General features: G+C 44.9%; 1 protein-coding gene and 1 long non-coding RNA gene across 7 annotated transcripts in view, besides 1 other annotated feature; one reads left to right on the top strand and one right to left on the bottom strand.

Moving 5' to 3' along the window:
* Positions 1-21,138, top strand: part of FSTL4 (follistatin like 4) — a 645,613-nt gene that overhangs the window by 613,324 nt on the left and 11,151 nt on the right. For 4 of the 5 annotated variants that reach the window (XM_011543283.2, NM_015082.2, XM_011543286.4 and 1 more), the window contains 6 exons: positions 2,925-3,086; positions 3,460-3,594; positions 4,528-4,554; positions 7,878-7,996; positions 11,366-11,515; positions 18,446-18,553. In XM_011543283.2, the coding sequence (XP_011541585.1) occupies positions 2,925-3,086; positions 3,460-3,594; positions 4,528-4,554; positions 7,878-7,996; positions 11,366-11,515; positions 18,446-18,553 (701 nt within the window). The remainder of the gene's footprint in view (positions 1-2,924; positions 3,087-3,459; positions 3,595-4,527; positions 4,555-7,877; positions 7,997-11,365; positions 11,516-18,445; positions 18,554-21,138) is intronic. The other variant, XM_011543284.3, reaches the window with a different exon arrangement.
* On the bottom strand, positions 2,704-20,857 carry CTB-49A3.2 (uncharacterized). 2 transcript variants are annotated; one of them, XR_007058938.1, is made up of 3 exons: positions 20,816-20,857; positions 20,402-20,479; positions 2,704-4,660 (listed from the first exon to the last, which is right to left on the bottom strand). It is a non-coding gene; the product is annotated as an uncharacterized CTB-49A3.2 (long non-coding RNA). The 2 variants fall into 2 exon arrangements; XR_001742887.2 differs by lacking the exons at positions 20,402-20,479; positions 20,816-20,857 and adding exons at positions 17,755-17,895; positions 18,653-18,751.
* Positions 7,355-8,554: an enhancer, noted in NCBI's record as "BRD4-independent group 4 enhancer chr5:132555882-132557081 (GRCh37/hg19 assembly coordinates)". NCBI's record gives its function as "activates an origin of replication core promoter dependent on BRD2, P300/CBP, MED14 and CDK7 cofactors, and independent of BRD4, by STARR-seq in HCT116 cells {active_cell/tissue: HCT116}" and the evidence as "EXISTENCE:reporter gene assay evidence [ECO:0000049][PMID:35650434]".

Raw genomic sequence — 21,138 nt, 5'->3', positions numbered from 1 at the left:
TATCATTCTGTTCCTATTTTATTGAGGGATTTTCCCCAAGAAATTGATTTTGAACTTTTTTCAAAGGCCCTTCTAGTGTCTAGCAAGAGAATCAAATGGTTTTTCTCCTTGACTTTGGAATGATTAATGGTAGATTTCCTAATAGTTAGCCATTGAAACATATTACCCTTGCCCACAGTATGTTCTTTTAATACCATGCTAGTTTTGACTTGTCCATATTTTACTTAGAATTTTGGTGTATCACGTCCTAAGTGAGATCAGTGTGTAGTCTTTTTTGCATTCTCTGCCAGGTTTTGGTGTCCAGGTTATGCTACCTTCATGATGTAATTTGGAACATCTTCCCTGTTCCATGCTCTAGGGATTATTCATTCCTTAAATGAATGAAGGAATTGTCTGATAAAACTTGTCAGAGTGCCTTTTGAGTTAGTAGTACTTTACAGTTGTTTTAAATATTCTCTCCTTAACTCAATGCTGGTACTTCCAAGTTTCCTTTTTTTTATTTTTATTATTATTATTTGAGAGAGGTTCTTGCTCTGTCACCCAGGCTGGAGTGCAGCGGCACAATCATGGCTCACTACAGCCTCAACCTTCCGGGCTCAAGGGATCCTCCCACCTCAGCCTACTGAGTAGCTGGGACCAGAGGTGTGTGCCACCACACCCGGCTAATGTTTGTATGTTTGATAGAGGTGGGGTTTTGCCATGTTGCCCAGGCTAGTCTCGAACATGTGGGCTCAAGGGATCTGCCCACCTCGGCCTCCCAAAGTGCTGAGATAATAGGCATGAGCCACCGCACCTGGCCTAAAGTTTCCTTTTAAATGATCCATTTCACTGAGACTTTCACATTTATTACCAATAATTGAATACAGCATTCTCATATTTTTTAATCCCTTCTGTGTTCTTTTTCTATTTTTTTATTGATCAAACATCCCAGGAATTTGGCTGTTTTGTTGGTTTTTACAAACAGCTCTTAGATTTCTTTACCAGTTCTGTTCTTCAGCTTTCTGGTTGATTCATTCATTTATGCTTCTGTCTCCATTGATTCTTCTTCTTTCTTTAAGTTTATTCTGTGGTTGCCAGGCAGGCTTGTAGAAATAGACAGTGATCTAGTAAGAACCCAAGCTTATTAACCCCAGGTCCTGGCCATTCCTATTCTAGAACTCTGGTGGCTCTATGCTACCACCTTCTCCAACCACCCCCAAGGCCAGTACTCCTGGTTCTCTCTCTGCGTTACTGAATTCCGACCAAAATTCTATCTATTCAAAGGGAACCCCACTCCTCCCTCTACCCAAGGCAAGGTATAGGGAAGTTTCTTTCTTTCCTCTTTGAATCAAGCAGGGAAGTTTCCTTCTTTCCTCTTTGGATCAAACGGGTCAGAGAAGAGAGCTACACATTTATGTTGGAAGCAGTCCTCCAGACATGCCTCCGCTGGAGCTCCGTGGACCTCCTCCACCCCTAGTGGCCTGACTTGTGACAGGCTTTTCTGCCACTCCCTGGCATTCTCCCCCAGGGCTTCAAACAAAGAAAAACTGAGGCAAGGACTCTGACTTTATTGTTTTGGGTCTCTGTGTGGTTTGGCATTGGGTGCCCTGAGCTCATGTTATTGAAACAGCTCTGGACCATTGGAGGATGGGATTGTCTCCCTAGGCAGTTGTCCATTTAGCTTTCACCTCTGCCTCCAACTGTGTCCCACAGATCAAGAAAAGATTTGAAATTCAGACTGAGTTGATGGAATTATGAGCAGCCCCTGAGGAGCTGTGACAGGAGCTACAGAGTTCATTTCTCACAGGGAGGCCGTGGAGTTTTTCTTTTATCCTCTGCCCACCCCACATGCATCACAAAAATTCTACCCCACTCAGGTCCCGGGATCCACACCATTGCCTTTTGTACATAAGTACCAATTTGTTCTATGCTCTGGTTCCAAGAAAAATCTTCTCTATTCTAAAGTACTGGGATGCTTTCTTTAACTGAACAACAGGGAGTTCCAGATAACTCTAGGAAAATGTAGCTGTCCACTTCAAGAAGAATCCATCTCCCCCATCTCCAGGGACAGTGTGTTTAGTTTAGTTTAATATGCAGGTATGTTTACATCTCACAAATCTTTTTTGAAAGTGTGTAAAGTAAAAGTTATAGATAAGGAAGAACCCTCAATTCCACTAAAAATGATACTTATCTCCTGGACCCAGAGCTAGGGGTAAGAGGGAGGGTCCTCCAGACCCTCATTGCTTCTTCCAGGCCCCTCCCCACAGCCAGGCTGGGTAGGAAGGGCCAGAGCTCTGTGGAGGGTGCTGGAGCCTTGCCCACCCATGCTCGTCTGGTGAGTGGGCAGGCTCACACCCCCAACCCTGAACCTGACTGCCAGGGCCCATGGCTGAGTCACTCCAAGCTGAGGAGGGCACACCTGGCCTTTCACCCATGTTCCAGGGGTTGAGAAGTGGAGAAATGAGAATGGCCCACTGGAAAATGAATGAACTTCCCCAGAACAGAGGCCCTGCCAGTCAGTGCCATAAGTGCTTTCTGATACATTTCCTGCAAGAAATTAACCCCTATCCAATGGCTTTCTGATAACAGAAAGGGAATGTATCTAAATTTTATTCAGAAATAAATTTCAGTGGCTGCTGCTCTTTACATGTAGCAGCTGAACAGCATTAAATATTTGGATGGCCTTCTGATCGTATTTAGAATAATGATGAAAGCCATGAGTCATAGGGTACAAAGTCTGACATGTTTATTATCTGCAATCTATTTTATAGCCCTTTCTTTTAGAGCTTGCGTTGCTGGACAGGATTATTATAATTTGGTTAAACACAGAACTCCAGTCACCTACTTGGGTTCACCCCCTCTGGAGCAGGGTCTCAGGTTGGGCCACAGGCCCAAGTCCAGGTCAGGGCCGTCTCTTTCTCACCAGCACTGACTCTCACCCACAGTGCCGCCAGTCATCCGTGTCTATCCAGAGAGCCAGGCACAGGAGCCTGGAGTGGCAGCCAGCCTAAGATGCCATGCTGAGGGCATTCCCATGCCCAGAATCACTTGGCTGAAAAACGGCGTGGATGTCTCAACTCAGATGTCCAAACAGCTCTCCCTTTTAGGTAAGAACTGCCCTTGGTAGACGTCTATGCGATATTCCCATTCAAATCAAGCTGAGACTCCAGGAATGGAAACGAGAGGTATAATTTGTTTATAAGTCAGACAGGTTAGGAGTGAACAGATGGCTCCCAAATTTCCCTGTTATCTGGGCTCACACAGATCTTTTGGGGCTTTCTGACAGCAATGATGAGAAGCTGTCACTCAGGTCCAGCTCACCCTCAGTGCATTTCAGATGTGCCAGCCCTTCCTGGGCGTATAATCAGGGCTGCTGGCTGCCCAGGGGCTGGGCAGCCCTAACACTCTCAATGGCCCCATAAAGGAAAGTGAGTGGGTCTCCAGCTGAGCAGTCCACCCTGAGCACTGTCCTGTCTGCAGCCAATGGGAGCGAACTCCACATCAGCAGTGTTCGGTATGAAGACACAGGGGCATACACCTGCATTGCCAAAAATGAAGTGGGTGTGGATGAAGATATCTCCTCGCTCTTCATTGAAGACTCAGCTAGAAAGACCCGTAAGTCGACACGCGTTTATGCTTCTCACTGAGCTGGCTGGGAGGTGTTGGGTGGCAAGGGAGGGCACCAATTGACCAGGGCCACAGCTGCCAACCATGAGCCCGTGAAGACAGGGGTAAGCCTCATATCCCTCTTTGCATAAAGCTGGAATTGGAGGGCACCCAGAGGTGAGCAGGCCTTCCCTGGCAACCTAGACAACTCTGGAAACAGACAGGGAGATTCCCTGGACAGCAGACAGAGCCCAGGAACACAAGGAAACCCAAATAGTCGAGTCCCAGCTCTGCTTTTTACTTGCTGTATGCCCTGAACCTCTGCCCTTCATCCACGTGATGTCCCACAGTGGCCCAGAACCTGACCTGTGCACACATGCACACCATTGGGAGTGTGGTAGCCTTTACACTAGGGGTCCAGCCCATCGGTGTGCTAAGCGTGCTCTCCTCATAACCACTGCTCCCCAGGTAGGCCTGCAGGTGTGATTTCATAGACATGGGTGTTAATCATGGTCAAAGACTCCAGGCTAAGCCATTTTCATCAAAGTAGATAATCAGAAGTATTTCACGTGGTCATCTTAGGAGAATCCTAGTTGAAAGTCACTTCTCCTGCTGGTTGTCCAGGAAATCTGGGAGAGATGTTGCTTACTCTTGATCATCCATGAAATGTGAGAAATTCCATTAGCTTCTGTGGTCCTAGGGCATGATTTCAAAGATTCACTTAAGAATCAAAGGGTCTGGAGACCTGAAAGCATTTGTTCATGTCCAGAGCTTCCCCCAAGATACTGTTCCTAGGGCAATGAGTGGTATAGATTCTGTAAGTGATGGACTAGGTACCAGGATCTTCATAAATGGAATCACTGCAGTGACGGTTTAACACTGCTTTCTTCTTTTTCCTTGACTCCATCACACTCCTGCTTTCCTCATTCTCTGCTGCTGCAGTTGCAAACATCCTGTGGCGAGAGGAAGGTACCAAGCTTCATTGTTTTGCGTCATGCCTGTGATCACGTGTGTTTGGTTCTATGATGGGCCGTCTTTCCATGATCTGCCACCAGCTTTCCCACACAAAGCAGCCCTATGGGAGCAGGAAGTCAATGTCAAATTCAAGTGGCATATGCATTGAATCAAATTTAAAATGTACTCCTGTCTTTAATGAGAAATTTTTAAATGCAAAGCTTTCATTAAAAGTGGCTTGTAACCTCTGCTGAAGCAGAACAGTTGGTAAGGGTTCCTGGTCAGATCTGGGCCTTAAACTTTTTTCCAGTAGCTGACTGGTGTTGGGTTTAGTGTTTTGCCTATCTTGTGTGGTTTTAAAAAGACAAAACAAGTTGTAGATCTCTACTAGATAGTCACTGTACCTTAAATATGCTTTGATTGAGGAAAACCCGAGGAAAAAAGCTGCCATGATTTCTGCCAATGTATATTTTTAAATGTATAGATGTTTAGAAACATATTTATCAAGCAAATCTTTAGTAAGTTGAGCCATATGAAGTTGCCATTTTTGTGCATCAAAGTGGTCTAAGATTGACAATTTCATATGGCTGAAAATATAGTGGGCATGTGTGGGAGCTGGTGGCAGAGCCTGAGTCACTGTGTGGGGTGCAGGTGCATGCCCGGGTCCCAGTCCCCACTGTGTCCCCACAACCAGATCTGAGTCCAAATCCCCTTGTGGCAACTCATTCTCCAGCTCAGTGGGCAGCAGCAGGAGGTACCATGTGATTGATGGGTTAAGCACAAAATCTCCCTCTTTGAAAACCAAGACATTTCCCATCTCATTTTTTCCTCAAGAACTTCACACGGTGTTACCTGCAGTCTGGCATATGCATGCAGACACATACTCAGAACAATTTCCTGAACGTCAGGAACTAAAGCTGACATGATAAGTCTGGGAACAAAACAAAGGCAGAGCCCAGAAAACGAGGAACTGCTGTCAATAGCAACAGTCGCTGATCACAGCGGCCCCTTAGGCTCTCACAGCTGCTGAACTAGCAGCATCTAGGCTGAGATGCACAGTCACTCAAGTGTTTAAGAGGTGGTGTTTTCCTTAGGGGAGGTTACTACAAAGGGTCTCAAGTTTCAGAAGTAGAGACCTACCACGAATGCAAGAGGCCCCATGGAATGTGAAATCAGCTACAAAGACCCCAGTGCCCGCTAAAGACCCACAGCCGCCTTGGGGCATAGGGTTGGTAGGTATATTGAACAATTGAGCAGTGAACAAATTCAATACTGCCTGGGTAGCTTGTACCCTTCACTCCTGAAACTCAAGGTCTGGAGATAGGGATAAGGAGCCAAAATGAAGAGGCCAGTAGGCCTCAGGGGACACACAAGTCTCAACAGGAGAAATGAGAGGAGAACAGACAAAAGCAAAAACAGCTCCTTCGGGCCCTCTTAGCAGAAGCTACACTCAGGCAGCTTCCAGGGAGCTGGATCAGGAGGCTGGGTATCCCGTGAAGTCAATTACTTGTTGAATGACTGTTTGTTGAGCCTCATATTCCAGGGCCGACTGTGAGCAAGGCCAAGGTACTGCACTCAGCCCAGAATGTAGCTACAGCCACAAACCCCATGTGGGCTCTATTATGCTTTCAATCTTATGTTGGTTCTTCCAACTACCGATTTTCTAAGCAGACTTGGGAGGCTGTTCCTGGAGTTTGTGGCTTAGTGGGGACTTTGACCCCTCTGGCCCCTAGGTTTGCGTGGAAGCAGTTTGTCAGGTGAAAGAGTACAGAAGAGAAGTTCCCGCTGTGGGTGAGATAGATGGGGTCAGGGCAGGTGTGTGCTGGAGTGCTGGCTCCAAACACTGAGATGCTGTGGAGCTAAGACTGACTCTTGGCGGGAGCTGAGCTTCATCTGGTTTTTGAGAAACAGGCTGCCCAGCGCCCCTGATTCCCCCGGGATTGCTTATGGAGAGCTATGCTGGATACTCCCTGGTGTTCACAGCTTCTGAGAGGCTGGGTTCCAGCTGCTTCTGGTGGCAGGAGCCCTCCTGCCCAGAGCCTGTCTCAGCACAGACGCTGGAGGCGGCTGAGGTTTATCATAGAGTCAGCCCCTTGTTCAACAGCAAGGACCACTCACATTAGTGCCTCTGGGTGCCAAGGACCCAAGGCCCAGAAAACTGCATGCAGAGTTGTTGGAAAAAAGTAAAACAGTGATTCCTGTTTTGTTGTTTTCTAACTCACTAAAAACTTGCCCAGATAGTCCATTAAACCAGCATACCAGTTTTCTCAGCATGCTAAAAAAAAAAAAAAAAAAAAAAAAAAAAAAAAAAAACTAGAAAAGAGATTTTTCTACATATTTACCCTAGAATTTACAGAGATCTTAATGTTCTAGATTTAAAAGAAATGAAGAAAGGAAGGGAAAGGGGAGATAGAAATAAGGAGACAGAGTCGGGAGGAGACAGAAAGACAGGGAGAGGGAAGGAGCACTCTAGAGCTTACATCTCCTTGTACCTTGTTCCCCCTTTATAGAGACAGAATGAGGGACAGAGGCCAGAATGCAGGGCCCAGGGTCTAGCTCCAGCTCTGGCACAGAGACGGGTGGCCTCAGACAAGTCCCTTTCCCTCCTTGGACCTCAGTTTGTCTTTAAAATAAGGAGGCTGAGCTAGCTGGTCCCCAAGGCCCCTTCTCAGCTGGTTTGCTTAGACCTTCTCCCCAGACAGCTACAGCCCTGGGCCGGGGTCAGGGGGGCATGACTGGAGTGTAGGTTCTGCTGCCTGGCACGGGCTGCCAGAGAAACGGTGGGGGGCGGTGGGGGGGCAGGGAACAGAAGTAAGAGCAAGCTGTCTGGAAAGAGGGGTTGGCCAGCACAGCCAGGACAGAGTTTGGGCAAAGGGCAGCATTCTTAGACTCCACATTCCAGGAAGTGACACTGTACATACATGGGTTTAAAAAAGCAAATGAAAGCCTTTGCTACTTTGGCATCCACTGATCCATCCTGATGTGACTAGTATATTATAAACAATCAAGGGAGGCTTTCCCTTTCAGAACAGGAAAGGTCAAATGTACATCAAAGCCAAGGCTTTTATCTGAAAACCTGTGGCCAACTCTAGATGACTTAGGGCAGCTGTACGTAGCCTGTGACATGCTTTACTGATTCATAGTCCTGGGGGGCCCTCTCTGCACCCATCCAGCTACAAGCTGGCTGCTCATTCTACCCCACCCTGACCAGGAATTGCATCTCGTGCCTGCACCAGATGCATCCACGTGGCCGGTTTCTTGTGTGTTCAATGCTGCGTGTGACCCTGCCCAGGGGCCGACTGCTTGGAGGGCATGCCCATTCCATTTGCTCCTCCCAGGCCTCAGCGTGGGAAACATGTTCTATGTCTTCTCCGACGACGGTATCATCGTCATCCATCCTGTGGACTGTGAGATCCAGAGGCACCTCAAACCCACGGAAAAGATTTTCATGAGCTATGTAAGTAACTGTGCCTGGGGCAGCTTCTACATCATACACAGGCAAAATCCTAAAAGTCTATCTTTAACCAGGCATGCCATTTGATTTCTAAAATTCCATTTGCTATATGTGGTGTGGTTCCAAATTTTTTCCCAGGCTAAGAGAGGAATAGATGAGGCTGAGAATTTAAAATTCTCATTCCTTCATCCAGAAGCCACTTCTCTGCACTGAGCCTCAGGTGAGGCCCAGGTGGTACAAATGGGTTTCTGGCCTCCAGAAATTCACAGTCAAACGATGGAGACAGCAATGTGAACAGACAGCTGCCAAACATGTGTTTTCTCAGTAGCCTTCAGGAAACTAAGGCCAGGTAGAAAATAACGATGGAACATTCAGTGGGCAGAGGCAGGAGCATGATTGCTGATAGAGGATCCAGGAAAGCCCTTCCAGGATAGCCTTAGGAGGCCTCCCCCAGGGCTGTGGCCCCCACACCAGGCCTCTGTTCCTCTGGCTTGTTTCCCACTTGGCCTTGCAGGATACCCTGCGCTCCTTGAGGACAGGACTATAGTGTTGAATCCCAAAGGGTCATGTCAATGCCCCATATGCCTTCCCCTTGAGGATACAGTGTGTCCTCAGTTGTACAGAATGAAATAACTGTGCACAATTCACTCAGTGAATAGTTACGGGCTTGGAGCCCATGGAGGAAGTGGGCTTGGCCCAGGCAAGTTCCTAAAGCATTGCTGTGCTAGCTATTGGTATATCTCAGGCTGTTCCATTTCTCTCATTTGTGGCTTTGGGAAAAGCTGTTTTCCAGGCTGTTTCATTTGAGTTATTTCATTATTTTTTAGAAGTGTTATTTCCCATCAATGTTCCTTCCATATATTAATAACAGCTATGAAGCCAGTTAGAAAGAGTTCCAGCAATTAGGTTTAAATAATTGCACTCCATCACATTGGCACAAATTTCTCATATATTTGTAGTAACCTAACCTGTAACTTGGAGGGACTCTCTCAAATCCTAACCGGGATTCAGTTTTCCTGGATAAGAAGCTAGACACAAGACACAGAGAGGTCCTGAAGGTGTTTCAGGCAATATAAGACTGTGGTGAGCTGGGGAATGATCCCAAAGAACGATTTTCCATCTAGAAAATGCTCAAACACCTAACGAGAATTACAATGGGACAAGCCTCTTCCTGAAGGGCTGGTGAGTAGGAGATTGGGGCATCCCACGTCAGGCCTCTCTGCTGGCTTAGATGTCTACTTTTTCCAGAAGGAGGCAGCGTGATGTCACAGATAAAGGCATAGCCTTCAGAGTCAGGTAGACTTGGGTTCAAATCCCACCTCTGTAGACTAAGTAGCTTTAGAAAAGTTACCTAGCCTCTCTAAGCTGCAGTTGTCTCATAGGCAAGTTGGGATTATATAAGGATTAAATATGAGAACAAGAGTAAAAGGAGAGAGACTAGTTTCAAAGCTATTGCAGTCACCTAGGAGAGAATGGGGGGTGGCATGAGAGAACCAAGCAGGAGCTGGAGAAGGTTCTGAGATAAAGACAGATCTGGGTGCCATTAGCATGTGAGTGTTGGCCAAATGGGACAGACAAGGGCATGTGCAAGTGATTTGAGATGGGTATCTGGAACAGAACCCTGGAGTCACCAACAGTTCAGGGACAGGCAGACTAAGAGGAACCACAAAGAAGATTCAGACAGAGTTGGGCCACAATCGCAAGGAAAACCATGAGACTGTATATCATGTAAGACAAAGGAAAAGAAGGTCCCCTTTTACACTCATTTATTCTGTCAGCAAATACATTTTAAGCACTGACTCTGTGCCAGGCACTGTACTAGGTGCTAATCATATAGCAGTGAACCAAAGACCTGCCCTCAAGGAACTTACTTACAATCTAGTGAAGGAGGAAAGGCTGTGCCCAGGTAGACAAATGAATGCAGAAAGTCAAGTGGTAAATGGAAAATGCAGCTGGTAAGAGAGTAAGGGTACAAGGAGAGCTGAGATAGACGAGGTCAGAGAAGACCTCCCAATAAGGTGATACTAAGCAGAGACCTGAAGGAAATGAGAAAATAAACCCTGTAGATATCTGGGGAAGAACATTCCAAGCAAAAGGAACAGCCAAGGCAAAGGCCCTGGTGCAGGAGAGCGGCGTGATTGAGGAGTGCTGAGCACGCCCATGGCATGGAGTAGGGTGGGTAAGAGAGAAAAGCAGCAGACCGAATGTAGAGGGCCTTGTAGGAAAGACTTGGGATTTTATTCTGAACAAGAAATAATGTTATTGGGAGTGAGGGGGAATTGAGAAAGAGGAGTCACATGATCTGACTTGAATTTTACAGTGATCCCTGTGGCCGCTGGGTCAAGAACAGGTTGGGAGGCTAGGGTGGAATCCAGGAGCATACACGGATGCTATAGCAGTCACCTAAGTGGCAGGTAGTGTGACCTGGCCAGGGTGATGGAGCAGAAATGGTCAGAGCCTATTTCTGGATATATTGTGAAGGTAAATCTGAAATGACTTGTGAGACATTGGATGGGGCCTGAGGTTAGAGGCATCAAGGATGGCCTCACTTCACTAGATTGTAAGGTTTTGGCCTATGGAAGTAAAACAGCAGACTTGCCAGGTTTTCAGTAGAATGAGCAGGATTAAGAAGTAAAATCAAGAGTTGATTTTGAACAACCAAGTGGAGCTAGGCAGTTGGTTATTGAAGTCTAGAGTTCGGGGAAGAGGCCTGGGCTAAAGGTATGAATTGGGAGTTGTGAGCACATAGAATGTATTTAAAGCCATAGGTTTCAATGAGATTAACAAGGGGGTGGATTTTAGAGAAGAAACTTAGGCGTGAACCCTGGACACCCTAGCATATAGAGATCAGCACACTGAGCAGAGTCCAGCAACAGAGGATCAGCCGCCGAGGGAGGATGGAGGGGAGGGAACAGAGGGAGTCAACACAGGTTTAATGTAATAAGTGGGGAGTCCATGTTGACCTTGGGGAGAACAACGTCAGCTCTGAGGACTAGAGCCAGAGTGTTAAGGAGCATGCAAGAGGTGGGAAGTGGAGAAGGAGTATAGGCAACTCTTTCAGAAGTTTGGCCATGAACAGAAGTTTTTAAAATGAAGATGAGGAGAGGGAGAAGATAGCGTAAGAATAGAAGAACATGAACCTGGAAGCTGCTAACTGAGCGGGTGCAAAGGGAGTTTTAGCCCCAAAAGATTAAAGGAATGTTAAGTGAGAAGTCAGTGATGTTGGAGGGCTTGGGTGCCCTGTTCTATGGATCCAAAGGATTCTAAGAGAGAGGAAGAAAGGCACAGAGGAGGGTCAGGGGAGAGAGTACCTAGAGATGTTGGAGGGAAAGGGCAATTAAGAAGATATATGACAGCCTATCTCCTTTGCAGGAAGAAATCTGTCCTCAAAGAGAAAAAAATGCAACCCAGCCCTGCCAGTGGGTATCTGCAGTCAATGTCCGGAACCGGTACATCTATGTGGCCCAGCCAGCACTGAGCAGAGTCCTTGTGGTCGACATCCAAGCCCAGAAAGTCCTACAGGTACACCTCTTTAATGGAGTGAGGAAAACTTCAAATTCTGGGGCACAGCCTGCCACATTCTTCTTTGCTTTCTGCATACTCCCCAGCTCCTGTGCCAGGTGGTCAGACTGAAGGGAGAAAAGATTCATGTGTAATTATTCGTGAAGTATTGATTGTCTACTATGTAGGGAAACAGCCATGAATGAGCAATAATTTCCCTAGAACTCATATTCTAGTTGGGGACCATAAATCAGAATTTTAGAGAACTATAAGTAATAAGGACTATGAAAAACCAGGTTCCAAGCAAAAGAGGAACAGGAAGACTATTTTCAATTGGCCTTTTCCCTCAAGGTGAATGAGATGCCAGGTAGGACCGAGACTCTGAGAGAAGGCACAGTGATGAAGGGTAGAGTGGGAGGATGAAGTCAGGCCAAGCAAGGGCCCACTCACACAGGGCCTCGGAGGCCAGTCAGGAGCTAAAACAAAGCCCAAAGTGAGGACATTTCAGTGAGAAAGTCACAGAAGGGCTTTCATCAGGGGATTGATCCAATCTGACTTAGATCTTTAAAGAATCAACCTGGTGGTTGTGTTAACAAACGGGCTGGGTGTGGTGGCTCACACCTATAATCCCAGCACTTTGGGAGGCTGAGGTGGGTGGATCACCTAAGGTCAGGAGTTTGAGACCAGCCTGGCCAATGTGGTGAAACCCCGTCTCTACTAAAAATACAAAAAAATTAGCCAGGCGTGGTGGCAGGTGCCTGTAATCCCAGCTACTCAGGAGGCTGAGGCAGGAGAATCACTTGACGGGAGGCCGAGGCAGGAGAATCACTTGACGGGAGGCCGAGGCAGGAGAATCACTTCAACCCGGGAGGTGGAGGTTGCAGTGAGCCGAGATCACACCACTGCACTCCAGCCTGGGCAGCAGAGCAACACTCTGTCTCAAAAGAACAGGAAGATGGAGCAGGGATCTGGTCTGATGTAATCCAGGCAAGAGATGACAACAGCAGTGGGAGTGGTGAAAAAGGATCAGTTTCTTGACATATTTTAAACATGAAGCCTGAAAGACTTTCTGATAGATTCTTTCTGACAGATTGAATATAAGGCTTGAGGTAAAAAGGATTTAAGTTGTCTTTTAACTTAAGCAACTATAGAAGGGTGATACCATTTACAATGTGTGGTAGGCTAAATAATAGCCCCCAAGATGTCTACATCCTAATCCACAGAACCTGTGGATGTCGCCTTATATAGCAAAAGGGACTTTGCAGATGTGTTTCAATTAAGGATTTTTAAATGAGATTATCCTGGATTACCTGGATGGGCCCTAAATGCAATCACAAATGTCCTTATAAGAGGGAGGCAAAGAAAAATTTGACTGCAAAGATGAAAAAGGCAATGTGAGAACTGAAACAAGATGCTGAATTGCTGTCTTTGAAGATGGGATGAAGGGGCCAGAAGCCAAGGGATACAAGAAATGCAGCTCTGGAGACTGGAAAAAGGCATGGAACCATACTCTCCCCTAGAACCTCTAGAAGGAGTGCTGGTTTCAATTGATTTTGGCTTTCTGGTCTCCAGAACTGTAAGAGAATAAATGTGTTGTTTTAAGCCATCAAATCTCTAATAATTGGTTACTACAGCAATATGAAACTAATGCACTACAAGAGAAGAGACTTCAGGCAAGGCAGGGAGCAGATTGGGGGGTGATTTAAGTTTAAAATACTGTTAGAAGAGAAGAGACTTCGGGCAAGGCAGGGAGCAGATTGGGGGGTGATTTAAGTTTAAAATACTGTTAGATGTGTAAGTAGAGAAGTCAAGTAAGCAGTTAGATAAACAGGTCTGGAGTCAAAGGAGAGGCCTAAGCTAGAGATATCGATTTGGGTATCGTCACCATATGAACTGTATTAATCCAGGAAACTGGATGAAATTACCAAGAGGTGGTATAGACAGAGAAGAGGTCAAGATTGGAGTCCTGAAGCACTCCAACATTTAAAGATCAGTAAGGAGAGAAGAAACCAATAAAGGAGACCAAGGAGGAATAACCTGAAAGATAGGAAAAAATTAGGATAAAGAGAGATATTCTTGAAGCTAAAAGAAGAGTGTGTTTCAAGGGAGTTGTGCTGTGATGAGCATGTGTATGTTATGAAGACTGAGGACTGACCATTGGATTTGGTACAATAGAGTCATGGATCACCTTGGCAGGAACAGATAGGATAATGGTGGAATGCAAGCCTGCTGGAGTGGATTCAAGTTAGAATCGTAGGTGAGGAAATGGAGATGGTGAATACAGGCAATCATATGGAAGGGTTTTGCTGTAAAGGTGAGTAAATGTAAAGAAATGAGGCAATGCCTGGAAGGGAATGACAAAAGAACTTTTTAAAGTAGGTGACATTACAGCACTATATGCTACTGAGAATAACTACTCCCACAATTCTTCTCTTTCTCTCCTGCATCCTCATCCTGCATTGACTCTAGGCAGGAGTCAATGAAATCCAAAGCACACAAGTGGAGATCTAGCCCCAGATAAAATCACATCCTTTCATTATAACAGGAGGAAGTGGAATATCTTACATCCAGGCACAAGTACAATAGGTGATGCAATGGGTGGTAGTTAGATGAACTTCTTTTTGAGTTGTTTTTTCTCAGTCAAGCCTGGAGGTTTGAAGAGAGAGGTAAAAGTTCAACATGAGACTGAACTGGCCAGGCAAATCTGATAGGACTGCTGGGCAACAATGAGGGCCCACTTAAGAATTGTGGGTATAAATTTAAAGTGAGACCAGAGTTGGATCTCTTCAACAATGCTCAGTTTCCCCAGTAAAGGCTTGTTATATGAAGAAAGTTGGAAATAGCCAGGGTCGTGTTTCTCTTGGCAAATACAATGGGACATGTTCCAACTGCCTCTTTGTTATTGATTCCCCTGGCCAGAGAACATACTCTGAATAATATCGATCCTTTGAGATTTATTGAAGCTTGTTTTATGACTGAGTTTATGACCAATTTTGGTAAATGTTCCATGTGTACTTTAAAAGAATGTGCATTCTGATGTTAGATACTGTATTCTATATATGTGTCAATTATGTCTACTTGGTTCATTGTATTGTTCAGATCTATCCTTGGTGATTTTCTTGTCTGCTTAGTCCATCAGCTGCAGAGAGGTGTGTTAACATCTTCCACTATATTTCGCAAAGTTCTACTCATTTTTGCTTTAAAATTATATCATTTTCCTTTTATTCTTACAAAATATCCCTCTTTATCTCTGGTAATGCTGCTTGCCTGAAAATCTATTGTCTAACACTAGTATAGCTAAATCAGATTTATTTTAATTCGTTTTCTCATGGTATAATTGTTCCCTCCTTTTAACTTTCAACCTTTCTATGTCATTATATTTAAGGTCCTCTTTTATAAAGCCACGTGTAGTTGGGTTTTTATCTAATTTAATCATCTTAGTCTTTTACTTGGAGTATTTGATACATTTATGTTTAACATAATTAATTATATAGTTGATTTTTATCTACTATGTTACTTTTGTTATTTGACCTACCTGTTTATGTTGCTTTTTTCTCCTTTTTGCTTTCTTGTGGATTTGCCAAACATTTTAATTATTCTGTTGTTGACGATGCACTCTTTTATGTTGTTAACATAATAGTGATTATAACATGCATCATTGCATCAATACAGTCTCATACAAATTGTTACTTAATATCCCCAATAATGCTAGAACCATAAAACACTTCAACTCCTTCAACCCTCCTCCCCCTTACTTTTGCATTGTTGTGGTAATGAATTTTATCTGTATATGTAATTTAACCCCACAGGACATTAATTTATATTCACCCACACATTTGCCATTAATTCCTGAATAGTTCTAACACCAACTTTGCTTGAAGATCTGTTGGAAACAGATTCTCACAGTTTTTCTTTTCAAATATCTTTACTTTACTTTGTATTTCTCAGGCCAGGCACGGTGGCTCATGCCTGTAATCCCAGCACTCTGGGAGGCCAGGGCAGGTGGATCACCTGAGGTCAGGAGTTCGAGACCAGTCTGACCAACATGGTGAAGCCCTGTCTGTACTAAAAATACAAAAATTAGCTGGGCGTGGTGGTGCAGGCCTATAATCCCAGCTACTTGGGAGGCTGAAACAGGAGAATCACTTGAACCTGGGAGGCAGAGATTGCAGTGAGCCAAGATTGCACCAGCCTGGGTGACAAAGGGAGACTCCGTCTCAAAAAAAAAAAAAAAAATCTTTACTTTCTATTCTTCACTGAGTATAGAATTCTATGTTAGCGATTCTTTTCTTTCAGCATTTTAAGGTATCATTTCATTATCTTCAGTTATTTTTGCTGATAGTCTTATTGTTGCTATTTTGAAGGTGCTGTATCATTTTTCTCTACTTTCCAGATTTTTCTCCGTGATCTTTAGCAGTTTATTATGTGTGTGCATATGGCATTCTTTGTATTATGATTTGGGATTTACAAAGAATATGTGTATTTCTTGAATATGTATACTGATATCTTTCAAAAGATTGAAAAAAAATGTCAGCCACTATTTTTTCATATATTCTGCTGCCTCGTTCTCTCTCACCTCTTCTTTGGGAACTCTGTTTAAAAAAAAAAGTTAGGACTTTCCATTCTTTCCATTGGGTCTCACATGTCTCTTTCTGCTTCAATTTGGATATGTTCTATCAACCTATCTTCTGTTTCTAATAAACCTTTTAATGGCAAACACTCTATATAGAAGATTACACTTTCCTCTGCTAGGCAAAGAGAGTAGAGACTGAGTTGAAGCTTCTGTAGGGCTCAGCCTGCCTCTGATTTGCCCCTAATCCTGGGGCTTGTTTGCCAGGATCAGATCTCTTGGCTGCCATAGCCTTGCTGCTCAGCACATTGAGACTGTGAAAAATTCTGTCCTCAATTTAAATGATTTTTGGCTTAAGTTCTCTGGACTCCTGCTCCATACCACCTTAGAATAAGAGTATGAAATCCAATGGGAGAAGGTTAAGCAGAAAGGAGAGAGAACAGCTAAAGTCCAAACTTGAGGGAAGTTTAACAGGATAGCTGGAGGAGAATGTGTTGTCAAGATGGTATCATTACTGATGGGTTAGGAAGCTCTCAGTAGAGGAAGACAGTGTCAGGTGCTAAAGCCTTTGGTGAATGAAGAGAAACTGGCAGGAACAAATACAGGTAGCTGGAGGCTACAAAGGCCTCGGGGTATGTAAAGTCTAGAAAATAAAAAGCAGCCTCTACTTAAGGCTCAGGGGACAAGAGTTTTTAATTAAAGCAAGAGAGTAATTAAAGCAAGAGAGTAAAGGGAGACTTCAAAGATGGTGATGAGTGGAGAAGAGATATATTTCAGCAGGGTGGGAAAAATCAAGAGTTCAATTCTCTATACGTTAGGTTGAGATCATCAACAGATGAATGAATTCTAGAGTCATCAGAGTATAGAGGGTTATTAGAAGCCATGGCATTCCAGTGAAAGAGAGAAGACAGTCAAAGATGAAGTCAGAATGAAGAGGAGAAGCCAGGGAGGCGGGAGGCCACGTGAGGTAAGGAAGGGTATGTAAGGGTTTAATCATGTGGAATCTTACTGAAATGTCAAATAGGATTACAGAATGGTCTCTGAATTCGGCACGAATTCAGAAACTTGGTGAAAGTGAGTTAAGGAGAAATGCTTACTTCTTTAGAAAAGTTTTGACCAGTGGAGGCAGAGATGATGCAGTTTTTCTCCCCCTCATCGGAGAGACTAGAATACTAGAATATGAGTGGGTGAAATAAAACAAAGTATAAGGTGGCTGAGGTGGGGAGGAGGAAAAGATCATTGAAACCAAGAAGGAACTAAGAAAAGGAGGGCTTTGGATGACTCTTCCATGTGGATTGAAGGCACCAAACTTAGTGACCAAGTGAGTAGTAGAGAGGAAGACAGCAAAGGGAGGACTAGAATGTTGACCAGTGACAAGAAGAAGAGCAGGGGGCCATAGTCTAGTGGCATGAGCATTATAGAACAGAGTTTTTGAGCTTGTAATCTATAAGAAGTAGAAAACAGCTTTCATTTGACAGGGCCATAGGAGAAGCTATATCATCAGGGGATAGCAGTACTGCAGTTAAAAAAGAGCACGTCTGCTGATGCCATAGTCTGAGACCCAGAGGCGCCAGTCAAAGGCTGTGCAAGATAGAAACTGCCCAGAGTAGAACAAAGATAGATAGAGAGGGGTGATAATGGATGATCTCAAAGTCCACCTCAGATGACCTAGGAGGAAGGACCAACTCACCAGAATCTAGGCCACAGAGTAGTCTAGGGAAGGATGCTGAGGGTCCAAGACTTTCAGGAAGAACGAAGGAACCCTGGAGCTGGTTCCTGAGTGAAAAACTTAGCCTCTGTGTTCAGACTTTTGCCATGTTGGTCTAGGTCCCTTTAAGTAACATGCAGGAAAATAAGGAACATTATTGACCACTAATTTTATGCCTCTGGGCCGGGCACAGTGGCTCACACCTGTAATCCCAGCACTTTGGGAGGCTGAGGTGGGCGGATCACCTGAGGTCGGGAGTTTGAGACCAGCCTGACCGACATGGAGAAATCCCATCTCTACTAAAAATACAAAGTTAGCAGGGCGTGGTGTGTATGCCTGTAATCCCAGCTACTCGGGAGGCTGAGGCAGGAGAATCTCTTGAGCCTGGGAGGCGGAGGTTGCAGTGAGCCGAGATCACATCATTGCACTCCAGCCTGGGCAACAAGAGCAAGACTCCGTCTCAAAAATTAATAATAATAATAATAATAATAATAATAATAATGCCTCTGAGAAAAAAGACAGAGGGGAAGCTTCTGCCCTGGGTTCCCAAATGGAACCATTGGCAAGGCTTCTAGACTGGCTTTCCCCTCGCCCAGGAGTGATGCCCATGCATACAACGCCCAGAAATGACCATCATGTCAGCTTTCACAACATGTCACTATTTTTTTTCAAGTCCATAGGTGTGGACCCTCTGCCGGCTAAGCTGTCCTATGACAAGTCACATGACCAAGTGTGGGTCCTGAGCTGGGGGGACGTGCACAAGTCCCGACCAAGTCTCCAGGTATGTTGAGCACATGGAGGCTGATACCCACACTCCACTGAGAGAAGAACTCTCTCCCTATAAAATAAGTATCTCCTGCTTCCCCGGGTAGCTAATTACATTTATCCAAAATATATCCATAAAGGCTCAAGGAGAGAGTAGGAAACAGCCTCAGGCCAATGCCCCTCACAGGCAATTGATGACAGCAATAATGATGATGAATAGGATTCTGACATCACAACAATCAGAATGTGGCACCCAATCCCCATCCAGCCCCACAATCCTGCCTCTCTTGAGCCAATAGCTCCTGGGTCCCAACAGAATGAGGCTCTGGGGTCCAGAAGGGAGGCTGAAGAATAGTGTCAAAGCAAGCAGCAGATGTTAGCCAATGAAGAAGGAGAAGCAGCAGCAATTATATCTGTAAACAAAAGCCCACTTACCAAGTGCTTACAGTGTGCTAGGTTACAGAAAATTTCCATAATTTGCCTATAGTCCACCCTAGACAGTGTGGCTCTGGAGCCCAAACATCTAGCACTCCCTTGGGTAGAGCTTGGGCTCCAGAGATCCGTGGGATCCCTTCCCCCATCAGCCAAGAAAGGTCAATAGCAACCCTGACTTGAGCAATTTGAGTATGCCCTGCCCAGCCTTGCCCATCAGGGATCCATAAGAGGAATGAGCCCTGTAAAGTGATTTGAATGCCCATTTTCTCAATTCTCCCAAAGATGGTGCAAAGAACCATTCTGGGTGCACAGGAGAAAAGTTAATTCATTACATATAATGGATGCCTCTGGAGATTAGGGTCTCTCTCTCTCTCTCTCAGAACCCAAGGTGAGAAGGGCTGCAAATGGAGCTAACTCCCCTGTAGAACCCTCTGGAACCAAGACTGGCAAGAGGGCAGAAAGACCAGGGTCTGGAGAAGCTTCCTTCTAGGGACTGACCACCTACCTGCACCTCTGCATCACTCACAACTTCAGTTTCTATACTCTGAGGCCACTGTCACACTGGGGAAGCCACCAACCATTCTTGGGTCCAGTGAGGTGACAAAAAATAGTAATAACCTATCAGAGAGCCTGGACACCACAATAAAGGCCACTCAGAACAGAGTACCAGCCCAAAGAAATACAGCTGCCAGAAATACCAACAAAAAATAAGAAAGCACTTCAGAAAATTCAAGAGGAGGGGCCACTAGAAAAAGAACAAAAAAGATTTCCCAGTTTAAAACTGCAATAGATGAAAAATGTGAACAGGCACAGTGGCTCACGCCTGTAATCCCAGCACTTTGGGAGGCCAAGGTGGGCAGATCACCTGAGGTCAGGCATTTGAAACCAGCCTGGCCAACATAGTGAAACCCCGTCTCTACTAAAAATACCAAACTTAGCCAGACGTGATGGTGCACAGCTGTAGTCCCAGCTACTCAGGAGCAAGGAGAATCGCCTGAACCCTGGAGGCAGAGGTTGTAGTGAGCCACGATGGAACCACTGCACTCCAGCCTGGGCAGCAGAGCAAGACTCTGTCTCAAAAAACAAAAAAAGAAAAATGCATGGTTTCTACTGAGACCCAAAATAGTAGTCTGAAAGATAAAGAACAAGAAAAGCTCTCTCAAATCACAGAGCAAACCCATGAAGAGGTTGAGCCGTGAAGTGGGAAGAACAGAAGTTTAGAAAGAAAAGATAACTATTAGAACGGAGTCAAACATTAAATAAGTTTCCAATAAAATATTCAAGTTGAAGAAACTTAATCCTGTAGATTAAAAGGAATCTACAAGTCCAGGCTAAACTGATGAGAAATGACACATCTCTTCACTAGTGATAAAGTTCCAGCACTCCAAGTTTTAAGAAAAACTAATCAAATTGACAGTGGACTTCTCACCTGCAATAGGAGCTGGAAGACCGTGGTATCCCATCTACACGCTCCAAGGGTTCTATTCCCAAGCAAGACATCATTTACCTGTCAGGACAAAAGAAAGATATACGGGTACGCAGGAACTCAGGGAGCCCATCACTCATGGGCCACACCTAAGGAAAGATACTAGACAAACATCAGATGAGCCAGATTAGAGACATCAAGGTGGACAGAGATAGTGGCAAGTAATGAACCAGGAGAGGAAGATCTAAAATTAAAAGTAAAATGGATGAGGAGAGGCTATCTAGAAATGTACAATAAGTGCCAGGTGAGGACATTTGAATGAGGAGAGAGACAATGAAAGAAATTCTGATACCAAGCTGTAACTAAAGATAAATTGTTTCAGTAAAAAGAGTAGGAGCCAGGTGCAGTGGCTCTTACCTGCAATCCTAGCACTTTGGGAGGCTGAGGCAGGAGGATTACTTGAGCTCAGGAGTCGGAGACCAGCAGGAGCAACCTAGGAAAACCGCATCTCTACAAAAAATAAAATAAAAAAATTAGCCAGGTGTGCTGACGCACCTGTAGTCCTAGCTACTTGATAGGCTGAGACAGGAGAATCAATCACTTGAGCCTAGAAGGTGGAGGCTGCAGTGAGCCGAGATCATGCCACTGCACTCCAGCCTGGGTGACAGAGTGAGACCCTGTTTCAAAAAATAAACAAAAGTAGGGAGTATGCAGAAAGGGGGAGTAAAAATACTCAAAAC

The sequence above is a fragment of the Homo sapiens genome, chromosome 5 (genome assembly GCF_000001405.40).
Source record: "Homo sapiens chromosome 5, GRCh38.p14 Primary Assembly".
Lineage (NCBI taxonomy): Eukaryota > Metazoa > Chordata > Mammalia > Primates > Hominidae > Homo > Homo sapiens.
The sequence above is the reverse complement of the archived record's forward strand: the minus strand, read 5'-3'. Positions and strand labels throughout refer to the sequence as shown.